General features: G+C 41.2%; 1 protein-coding gene across 1 annotated transcript in view; it reads left to right on the top strand.

Annotated features, from left to right (window-relative positions):
* Nucleotides 1-10,795, top strand: part of CCL28 (C-C motif chemokine ligand 28) — a 55,417-nt gene extending 44,622 nt beyond the window's left edge. Inside the window, exon 4 of the transcript XR_427660.3 lies at nucleotides 10,098-10,795. The gene's annotated coding sequence lies outside the window, so the exon portion shown is untranslated. The remainder of the gene's footprint in view (nucleotides 1-10,097) is intronic.
* The last annotated feature ends 1,757 nt before the right edge of the window (nucleotides 10,796-12,552 follow it).

Here is a 12,552-nt window from a genome sequence, read left to right as displayed (position 1 = left end):
GCAGAAGGCAGGTGATTTCTGCATTTCCAACTGAGGTACATGGCTCACCTCACTGGGATTGGTTAGATAGTGGGTGCAGCCTACAGAGGGTGAGTCAAAGCAGGGTGGGGCCTGCATCTCCCAGCAAGATCAATGCAGAAGGCAGGTGATTTCTGCATTTCCAACTGAGGTACACGGCTCACCTCACTGGGACTGGTTAGATAGTGGGTGCAGCCTAAAGAGGGTGAGCCAAAGCAGGGTGGGGCATCCCCTCACCCAGGAAGCACAAGGGGTTGGGGAACTCCCTTCCCTAGCCAAGGGAAGCCGTGAGGGACTGTGGCATTAGAAACAGTGCACTCCGGCCCAGATACTACGCTTTTCCCACAGTCTTCACAACCCGCAGACCAAGAGATTCCCTTGGGTGCTTATGTCACCAGGGCCCTGGGTTTCAAGCACAAAACTGGGCGGCCATTTGGGCAAACACCAAGCTAGCTGCAGGAGATTTTTTTTCATACCCCATTGGCACCTGGAATACCAGTGAGAGAGAACTGTTCACTACCCTGGAAAGGGGGCTGAGGCCAGGGAGCCAAGTGGTCTAGCTCAGCAGATCCACCCCCACAGAGCCCAGCAAGCTAATATCCACTGGCTTGAAATTCTTGCTGCCAGCACAGCAGTCTGAAGTCCACCTGGGGTGCTCAAGCTTGGTGGGAGGAGGGGTGTCCACCATTACTGAGGCCTGAGTGGGCATGCAAACAAAGTGTAAACACAAACACGGTGTAAACACAAACACAGTGTAAACAAAGTGTAAACACAAATGCAGTGTAAACAAAGCATAAACACAAACACAGTTTAAACAAAGCCACTGGGAAGTTCGAACTGGGTGGAACCCACAGCAGCTCAGCAAAGCCGCTGTAGCCAGACTGCCTCTCTAGACTCCTCCTCTCTGGCAGGGCATCTCTGAAAGAAAGGCAGCAGCCGGTAGTCAGGGGCTTATAAATAAAACTCCCATCTCCCTGGGACAGAGCACCTGGGGGAAGGGGCTGCTGTGGGTGCAGCTTCAGCAGACTTAGACATTCCAGCCTGCTGGCTTTGAAGAGAGCAGCAGATCTCCCAGCATAGCACTTGAGCTCTGCTAAGGGACAGACTGCCTTCTCAAGTGGGTCCCTGACCCCCATGCCTCATGACTGAGAGACACCTCCCAGCAGGGGCTGACAGACACTTCATACAGGAGAACTCCAGCTGGCATCTGGCAGGTGCCCTTCTGGGATGAAGCTTCCAGAGGAAGAAACTGCAGCCTCCACTGGTGATACCTAGGCAAACAGGGTCTGAAGTGGACCTCCGGCAAACTCCAGCAGACCTACAGAAGAGGAGCCTGACTGTTAGAAGGAAAACTAACAAACAGAAAGGAATAGCATCAACATCAACAAAAAGGACGTCCACACAGAAACCCCATCAAAGGTCACCAACATCAAAGACCAAAGGTAGATAAATCCATGAAGATGAGGAAAAACCAGCTCAAAAAGGCTGAAAATTCCAAAAACCAAAATGCCTCTTCTCCTCCAAAGGATCACAATTCCTCATCAGCAAGGCAACAAAACTGGAGGGAGAATGAGTTTGATGAATTGACAGAAGTAGACTTCAGAAGGTGGGTAATAACAAACTCCTCTGAGCTAAAGAAGCATGTTCTAACCCAATGCAAGGTAGCTAAGACCCTTGAAAAAAGGTTAGAGGAATTGCTGATGAGAATAACCAGTTTAGAGAAGAACATAAATGACCTGAAGGAGCTGAAAAACACAGCACAAGAACTTCATGAAATATACACAAGTATCAATAGCCAAATCAATCAAGTGGAAGGAAGAAAGGGTATCAGAGATTGAAGATCAACTCAATGAAATAAAGCGTGAAGACAAGATTAGAGAAAAAAGAATGAAAAGGAATGAACAAAGCCTCCAAGAAATATGGGACTACATGAAAAGGCCAAACCTATGTTTGATTGGTGTACCTGAAAGTGATGGGGAGAATAGAACCAAGTTGGAAAACACTCTTCAGGATATTATCCAGGAGAACTAGCCCAACCTAGCAAGACAGGACAACATTCAAGTTCAGGGAATACAGAGAACACCAGAAAGATACTCTTCAAGAAGAGCAATCCCAAGATATATAATCGTCAGATTCACCAAGGTTGAAATGAAGGAAAAAATGCTGAGAGATTTTTGTCACCACCAAGCCTGCCTTGCAAGAGCTCCTGAAGGAAGCATTAAATATGGGGGGGAGAAAAAAACAACAATACCAGCCACTGCAAAAACATACCAAATTATAAAGACCATCGACATTATGAAGAAACTGCATCAACTAACAGGCAAAATAACTAGCTAGCATCATAATGACAGGATCAAATTCACACATAACAATATTAACCTTAAATGTAAATGGGCTAAATGCCCCAATTAAAAGACACAGACTGGCAAATTGGATAAAGAGTGAAGACCACTGGGCACAGTGGCTCATGCCTGTAAACCCAGAACTTTGGGAAGCTGAGGTGGGTGGATCACAAGGTCAGGAGATCGAGACCATCCTGGCTAACATGATGAAACCACATCTCTACTAAAAATACAAAAATTAGCTGGATATGGTGGCACATGTCTGTAATCCCAGTTACTTGGGAGGCTGAGGCAGGAGAATCACTTGAACCAGGGAGTCAGAGGTTGCAGTAAGCCAAGATCACGCCACTGTACTCCAGCCTGGTGACAGACCAAGACGCCATCTCAAAAAAAAAAAAAAAAAAAGAGTCAAGACCCATCAGTGTGGTGTATGCAGGAGACGCATCTCACATGCAGAGACACACATAGGCTCAAAATAAAGGGATGGGGGAATATTTACCAAGCAAATTGAAAACAACAAAAAAAGCAGGGGTTGCAATCCTAGTCTCTGTTAAAACAGACTTTAAACCAACAAAGATAAAAAAATACAAAGAAAGGCATTACATAATGGTAAAGGGATCAATGCAACAAGAAGAGCTAACTATCCTAAATATATATGCACCCAATACAGGAGCATCCAGATTCATAAAGCAAGTTCTTAGAGACCTACAAAGAGACTTAGACTCCCGCACAATAATAATGGGAGACTTTAACACCCCACTGTCAATATTAGATCAATGAGACAATAAATTAACATTTTTTTTAGAACTGAAATAATTACATTCTATGATAAAATTATTTTGAGATTAATATACCATAAGGCTGCCAGAAATCTATTATCTTTGTACAAATTGATATTTTTAAAAAATTCTTTATTTTTATCAACACATTGTAATTATATATATTTATGGGGTACAATTTGATGTTTTGATATATATATGTTGTATAATGATCAAATCAGGGTACTTAGCATACTCAAAAAAATACAGTGGCATAAACATATAAAACACTCTACACAATACACATACATACACACACATGTACATGTACATACACACACACACATATATAGTTTTGCTTTTGTGGAAAATTACTGTCCTTTCCTTTTTTCCTCCAAGAGCATCACTTTGCTCTGTGTTGCTCTGGTTTTAAAAAAAAATCACAATGTTTATCAGAAAATAAGGTTTGTAGTCTGCTTTGCCTATGGAGTAGCCATTCTTTATTCCTTTACTTTGCTAGTAAACTTGCTTTCACTTTTTAAAAAGCAGAAAAAGAAAAGAAGATATATAAATAAGATTTTGCTGAAGTTGAGCAGTGAGTTTTATCCCTGTCCCTCTCCCAAATCTGATGGCAGGTTATTGTTTCAATTATCTTAGCCACTTTTTCTTTTTCTCTAGGCAGATGCAGGGAGTCAATTGGGGATGATGATTCACTAGTCTCAATTGCTCTGTGAAGGCTTTCCTCAGTGGCTTCTATTTCGTTGTGTAAACCCAAAGGTTGCCATAAGATGATCCTCTCCTCTCCCCCTTTATGGGTTAGCAGCAGTTTCTTCCACTAATCTATGAAAATTCTGGAAAAGAGGTATGTAGGTAACATCAGAGAGCAAGAGCTTTTTGGGAAAGAGGTACCAACACTCTAATCTGAGCTACTGAAATTGGAGATAGGGAAACCTGTCAGGGTAAACCCCTGAAGTCAGCTGGCAGGCAAGGCACCAATTGCCACAAAGGGAAACTCACCTGAAGGGCAAGTGCATTCTCAGTTGGTCACTCGGGCTTGACACCAGGGACTCAGTGCTTGGGCAAGGAGGTGGATTCTTTCTACTTCAGTGAGTGATTAAGAGCCAAAATGCTCAAGACCTTACCACTCAGGGTATGGAATCTGAGCCTATGTGCTTCCCAGGACAGCTGCAACTGTGGAGCCCAATTCTGGAGTAAATGAAGTTGGTTGTGTGTCTGGTCCAGTAAGGATATCATCATCTACTGAACTGTGGTATTAGAAAAGCCCCGTGAGGGCAGAGCCATGTCTAGTGTGTTTCCTGTTGTATTCCTGGTGCCTAGCCCACTATCTTGTATGTGGAAGGTGCTCAGTGAATAGTTCATCATAAAAGATGCTAAAGAATTCAGGATCTAGAATTCAGTAACATAACACTGTGGTAGCAACCACAGCAACCATAGCAACCATGCTGGTAGACTCAAATCTCTCTACCTCATATCTGGAAAACAAAAGTGCCCTGCTTTGGACTGAATTCTTGGACTATCAGGTGGAGGACATAAAGAGACCTTGAAAAGGAAATACTCTAGTTCTTGTAAATAAAGGTAAACTGATTTGCAATGAATTGACTGGAAAAATAAATGTTAGTGTATGTGCACCCCAAGTAAGTAGAACAAATCATACTGGTTGCATAAGATATTATTTCAGGTATCTGAATCATGTAGATCACGGGTGACAACTGCAAGGTTCTGATTCCCTGAAAGGACATGCCTGAACAAATCTTATTTTAGTTGGATGAACCACTTGGTATGTATATATATCAATCTTTTACATCAGAAATAGCTCCTCACTCCAAAATGGGCTCAAGTTACTTTTCAGGTGTAAAAGGAGAAACTCAGCATTTCTAGTTCTCCAAATCGAATGTTAAAATCAGGCCAATTTCTCCATATTGCTGTATAAGAAATCAGAGGTAACGAAGACACAGCAGATATTATTTATTTCCAGAGCAAACATATTCACAATGACTGCTATGTAAATAATTCAAGTAAAATATTAGTTTTAACAATCTTGCATGCATTTTCATGGAGTTAGCAATTATTACTTAAAACACACACACAACTTAGTAACTATAAGTGAATCCATGTTTTATAAACTATATATACCTGAAAACTATGGGGTAAATAATATTTGTATAAATATAATTAAATTGTAAATGAGGTAGAAAAGTTTTGCAGATGACATGATTCTATATCTAGAAAACCCCATAGTCTTGGCCCAAAAGCTTCTTATGCTGATAAACAACTTCAGCAGTTTCAGGACACAAAACCAACATACAAAAATCACTAGCATTCCTATACACCAAAAACAGCCAAGCTGTGAGGCAAATCAGGAATGTAATCCCATTCATAACTGCCACAAAAATAATAAAATACCTGGGAATACAAGGGAGGTGAAAGATCTCTACAATGAGTATTACAAAACACAGCTCAAAGAAATCAGAGATGACACAAACAAGCGGAAAACATTCCAAATTTATGGTTAGAAAGAACAAATATCATTAAAATGGTCATACTGCCCAAAGCAATTTACAGATTCAATGCTATTTCTATCAAACTACCAATGACATTCTTCACAGAACTAAAAAAAACTATTTTAAAATTCATATGGAACCGAAAAAGAGCCTGAATAGCCAAGGCAATCCTAAGCAAAAAAACAAAGCTGGAGGCATCACTTTACTGGACTTTGAACTATACTACACGGCTACAATAACTGAAACAGCATAGTACTGGTACAAAAAAAAAAAAGACACATAGATCAATGGAACAGAATAGAGAGCCCAGAAATAAGGCCACACACCTACAACTATCTGATCAGCTTCAACAAAGCTGACAAAAATAAGCAATGAGGAAGGGACTCCCTATTCAATAAATAGTGCTGGGATAACTGGCTAGCCATATACAGAACATTGAAACTAGACCCCTTCTTTACACCATATATAAAAATCAACTCAAGATGGATTAAGACTTAAATGTAAAACCCAAAACTATAAAAACCATGGAAGACAACCTAGGCAGTGCCATTCTGGACATAAAACCTGGCAAAGATTTGATGATGAAGATGCCAAAAGCACTTGCAACAAAAGCAAAAATTGATAAATAGGGTCTAATTAAACTAAAGAGCTTCTGCACAGGAAAAGAAACTATCAACAGAGTAAATAGACAACCTACAGAATGGGAGAAAATATTTGCAAACTATGCATCCAACAAAGGTCTCATATTGAAATGCAAATCAAAACCACAATGAAAGACCATCTCACTCCAGAAAGAATGGCTATCAAAGGAATATAAGTCATTCTATTATAAAGATACATACATGTGCATGTTCATTGTAGCCCTGTTCACAATAGCAAAGACATGGCATCAACCTAAATGCCCATCAGTGATAGACTGGATAAAGAAAATGTGGTACATATACACCATGAAATATTATGCAGCCATAAAAAGGAATGAGATCATATCCTTTGCAGGGACATGGATGGAGTTGGAGGCTATTATTCTCAGCAAACTAACACAGGACTAGAAAACCAAACACTGCATGTTCTTACTTGTAAGTGGGAGCTGAATGATGAGAACACATGGGGAGGAACAACACACACTGGGTCCTGTCAGGAGGTGCCAGGGGAGGGAGAGCATGAGGAAAAATAGCTAATGGATGCTGGGCTTAATACCTAGGTGATGGGATGATCTGTGCATCAAACCACCATGGCATGTGTTTACTTATGTAACAAACCTGCACATCCTGCACATGTACCCCTGAACTTCAAAGTTGAAGAAAAAAAGGTCTCATATCCAGAATCTATAAGAAACAAACAAATTTACAAGAAAAAAACCATTAGAAAGTGGGCAAAGGATGTGAACAGACACTTTTCAAAAGAAGACATACATGTGGCCAATAGGCATATGAAAAAAAGCTTAATATCACTAATCATTAGAAAAATGCAAATCATTTTGCATTTAGTACATATACACCATGAAATACTATGCAGCCATAAAAAAAGGAGATCATGTCCTTTGCATGGACATGGATGAAGCTGGAGGCCATTATCCTTAGCAACCTAATGCAGGAACAGAAAACCAAATACCACATGTTCTCACGTATAAGTGGGAGCTAAATGCTGTAAACACATAGACACAAAGAGGGAAACAACAGACATGGGGCCTACCTGAGGGTGGAGGGTGGGTAGAAGGAAAGGAGCAGATAAAATAACTATTGGGTACGAGGCTTAGTACCTGGCTGACAAAATAATCTGTACAACAAATGAGTTTACTTATATAACAAACCTGCACTTGAACCTAAAATTAAAAAAAAGTCCCCAAAAAATCATGTGATAAAAATGAATATTAATATTATTTCATTTTTTTTACGTGGGTCTGGGGACCAAGGGAGAATATTATTTCTTAAAGCCAATGTTGACATTTGAGTTTTCATTTGTGCAGGATTACCCGGTAGTGTAATTGCCCAAAGGGTTCTTCCTATCTGCTGCATGGATAAACCAGTTCACTGAGACAGCATTATTGCAGTAAAGAGTTTAGTTTACACAAGGCCAGCCAGGTGGGAGGACAGGAGTTCATTATTACTCAAATCAGCCTCCCTGAGAACCCTGAATCCTGAGTTTTTATGGATAATTTGGTGGGCAGGGGACTAGGGAATGGGTGCTGCTGATTAGTTGGGGATGAAATCATAGAGATGTGGAAAATGGTCCTCATGCATTGAATCTGCCTCTAGGTGGGGGCCATGGGACTGATTTTGAGTCATGAGTCACAGGCCTGGGGGGTGTCATTCAGTTGCCAGAATGCAAAAGTCTGAAAAAAATCTCAAAAGACCAGTCTTAGGTCTTACAATACTGATGTTATGTATAGGAGCAATTGAGGAAGTTACAAATCTTGTGATCTCTGGCCACATGACTCCTGAGCAGTAAAGTATTATAGAAAAACAATCTAGGGGAACAATGGCTGCTTATTGTTGGGAACAGGCCCCCAAATCTGGCCATAAACTGGCCCCAAAACTGGCCATAAACAAAATCTCTGCAGCACTGTGACATGTTCATGATGGCTATGACACCCACACTGAAGGTTGTGGGTTTACCAGAATGAGGGCAAGGAACACCTGCCCGACCCAGGGCAGAAAACCACTTAAAGGTGTTACTAAGCCACAAACAATAGCACGAGAGATCTGTGCCTTAAGGATATGTTCCTGCTACAGATAACTAGCCAGAGCCCATCCTTTCATTTCGACCCATCTCTTTGTTTCCCATAAAGAGTACTTTTATTTAATCTATAATCTATAGAAACAATACTTATCCCTGGCTTGCTGTTAATAAATATGTGGGTAAATCTCTGTTCAGGGTTCTCAGCTCTGAAGGCTATGAGTCCCCTGATTCTGACTCTGTACTATATTTCTGTGTCTTTCTCTTAATTCTTCTAGCACCGCTGGGTTAGGGTCTCCACAACCGAGCTTGTCTCAGGAGCTTATCATTTAGCTATACCTACATTTTATTAGAATTCAGGCCCCTTTCATAATCCTAATCTTGTGGCCTTTCATTAGTCTTACAAACATGGTTTCAGTCCCTGAACAAGGAGGGGATCAGTTTTAGGAAGGGATTATTATTATTCTGGCTTTATAACTAAACTGTAAACTAAATTCCTCTCATAGTTAGCTTGGCTTTTGCCCAGGAGTGAGTGAGGACAGTCAGCCTGTGAAGCTAGAAGCAAGACAGAGTCAGTCATGCTAGACCTCTCTTGCTGTCATAATCTTTGCAAAAATGATTTTAGTAGAAAAAGTATGGGACTATTTTGGTCAGACAGACCTTGATTAAAATCCTTGTAATTAACATTGGTTTGTTTATCTGTAAATATATATTTTTTAAATTTGCTTAAAAGATTGTGAGGATTTAATATAAAGCACAGTGCTTGACATAAGAGTTGCTCAGTAACTATTACCTCCGTTTTGGTGAAGACCTAATTCCCAGCAGTTGCTGGATAAAATTTATTGAAGACCAATGGTTTGGACTGGTCTTCTGCACTAGGTCCAACAGATCAAACCAAAATGAAGTTACTTTTGCTGAAGTTCCACTCCACCAAACGGAAACTAAGTTGTTTATCTGACCTTCCAACAAACGAGAAGAGAGAAAGATAGCCAAATCTTCAAACAGGCCAGTTTTGGCTGACATAAGCAAGTCCCCTCTGCTTTAACCTTTATAAGGAAAGCAATTTTGAAATGACCAATCTGCTTTTTGTTCTCTGTTTTTGCTTTTTTATGACCTTTTCTGTCTATAAAGCCAATTTCCTCTGTTCAGCTCATGGCAACACTCATTCTACTTTGTACAATGAGGTGTTGCCTGATTCTAGAATTCCAAACAAAAGCCAATTAAGATATTTCAACTAAATTTTTTGTAATTTGTCTTTTGACACACTTGAGCACTTATTAAATATTACAGCTTTGCCTCAGCCACGCTGTGGAAGTTGGGGAAGGGCCTGTATTGTGCTTCAGAACGAATTGCTAAGAGGAGAGCTGTATCTTCACAAGGCGTGAGTGGTGACATTAGGGGCTGTCACTAATAGAACAGAAGACATCTGTGCCTCTAAAAGCAGCAAGTTAATGTGGGTCATTAATAGCTGAGGTAGTGACAGGGCAGCAGAAACAAGGCCTGTCCCTGAGCACAGCTGGGACAATACCCTTGGGCCCTGGGTGGAGGTGGGAGTGTCACACTGAAGAAAGGAAATTTTTGACAGTTAGTTTGGTGGAATTACAAGATATCTTAATTGAGCATTAAAATAACATGCCCCTGTCTTGCAGTCACATCAGTTATTTTTTTCACAGCATGAAATTGGCTTCTGTTTCATTGATTTAGATTGGATTTGGGAGTAGTTTGAGAAAATGTTGTAGCCTACACTCCCCTTCCCTTTTTTTTCCCCCCCTTTCTTTCAGGAACATCAGAGACCTGGGTGGGAGAGAGTAAGAGAAAGAACACAGAGTAAAAAATAAAGTATAACCACAACTTTTGGAAATAAGGAGAAGAATTTGGGAGCTTGATCATGTTTTTGCTTTTGTTGTTTTCCCATTCTGCTTCACCTTCCACCAAGCCTACTTCCCCAATGCCATGGCAGAAGATCAATGACAACAACTCTTAATCTTTTCTGACTGGCTTCACTATCCTGAATGGTGTCAAAGAACTGGTTCTTCCCTGCACTGAAATTGGAATCTATTACGATGGTCTGCTGTATACTGAATCATTGGCCCCAATTTTTTGTCCTTCCCTGTATGCACACCCTTTGCCAAGTGACTTTGCAGTTCCTCCCACAAAAACAGAGTGTATTTCTTCTCGCCTTGACTTTGGACTTGACCACATGACTAACTTTGGCATGTTAGCAGATGTGATGCAAAGGAGGGCTTGGAGAGTATTTGTGCAGTGGTGCTTGCCCTCTTGCACTCTGCCACTGCCATAAGAATCCTCCACTCTGGGTAGCAACTCCTTCCATTCTGGGTCCTAGAATGAAAACACCCCAGCACAGATCTAAACTGGCCAGACCCATATTTTGAACAGAGCCATTCAGTTGAACCCACTCTGGATCAGCTGACCCCTAGCTAACCTGCAGAGGTGAGCAAATAAATGTTGCTGTTTTAAATCATTGAGCTTTGGGGTGGTTTGTTTTACAGTAGTAGCTGACTAATGCCATATTTCTATAGAAGGGAGGTAGAGAGAAATGTATGCTTTTTTCATAGGAATTCATCTGTCACAGGGGAAATCCTGCTACATCAGGGAATGGAAGAGAGGAGGAGAGGTGATAGGCCAGAGTGACAATGAGGTTGTGAGAAAAACAAGATAAATCTGGGGGATATTACAAAATAAAGTCAGCTTGGCATGGTGGCTCATACCTGTAATCCCAGCCTGGGCAACATAGTGAGATCCATCTCTAAAAAGAAAAAATAGGCCAGGCACAGTGGCTCATGCCTATAATCCCAGCACTTGGCAGGTAGTGGGGTGGGGGGCCGATGCGGGTGGAACACCTGAGGTCAGGAGTTCAAGACCAGCCTGACTAACATGGTGAAATCCCATCTCTACTAAAAATACAAAAAATTCACCAGGCGTGGTGGCAGATGCCTGTAATCCCAGATACTTGGGAGGCAGAGGCAGGAGAATCACTTGAACCCAGGAGGCAGAGGTTGCAGTGAGCCAAGATCGTGCCACTGCACTCCAGCCTGGGCAACAAAGACTGTCTCAAAAAAAAAAAAAAAAAAACCTGGGTTTGATGGCATGTACCTGTAGTCCCAGCTACATGGGGTAGGGGCAGGGAGGGTAGGGCTGAGGCAGGAGGATCACTGGAGCCTAGGAGTTCAAGGCTTCAGTGAGCCTTGATCATACCGCTGTACTGCACCCTGGGTGACAGATCAAGACCCCTGTCTGTAAATAAATAAATATGTCAGAGGTATACTGCCCTTAAAGTGTGGGCTGAGCATAGTGATTCCCTTTTAAAGAGCACAGTATAGAAAGTGGGAAAAGAGTAACTTTATAGTGGAAAACCCTGGTAAACATTGCCTTAGTCAGATGATCAAGGTTAACATCAACCGCAATAAGTCATGTTGATAGTATGTACCCTTGGTATGATTTAATGAGAATAGCACTTTAACCTCGGTGGTCTTCCTCCAGAAAATCTATAACCCCAGTCTTGCCATGAGAAAAACATTGGACAAACCCCAGTTGGGGAACGTTCTACAAAATAGTTGACTAGCATTTCTCAAAACTGCCAAGGTCGTCAAATACAAGGAAAGCCTGAGAAATCGCCACAGCCTAAGATGATATAATAATGTGGTGTTATGTGGTATCCTGGATGGGGTCCTGAACAGAAAGAAAAGACTGGGTAAAAACAGAGGAAATCTGAATAAAAGCATAGAATTTAGTTAATGATAATGTGTCAGTATTTGTTCATTAGTTATGACAAATGTACCATATGTAAGATATTAACAACTGGGGAAACGGGGTGTGGAGTGTATGGGAACCCCGTATAACATTCATAATTTTGCTGTAAACCTAGAACTACTCTAAAATTAAAAGTGTATTTTTAAAAAATCAAAGAATACTTTAATCCAATTCTCACATCCCCTTAGAAGTCTTTTTTGTTTTGATTTCACTCATTGATACATTCTCCCTCTCTTTCTTCAAGGCCTAGAAATGCCAGTTCACCAATTCTTTTCAAGACAGTACCTTCAATTCTTTTTTTTTTTGAGACAGGGTCTGGCTCTGTCAGCCAGGCTGGAGTGCAATGGCATAATCATGGCTCACTGCAACCTCTGGCTCCTGGGCTCAGGTGATCCTTCCACCTCAGCCTCCCGAGTAGTGAGGACCATAGCATATGCCACAATGCCTGGCTGATTTTTGTATTTT

Source organism: Homo sapiens, chromosome 5 (assembly GCF_000001405.40).
Source record: "Homo sapiens chromosome 5, GRCh38.p14 Primary Assembly".
NCBI lineage: Eukaryota > Metazoa > Chordata > Mammalia > Primates > Hominidae > Homo > Homo sapiens.
This window is presented reverse-complemented; position numbering and strand designations above follow the sequence as displayed.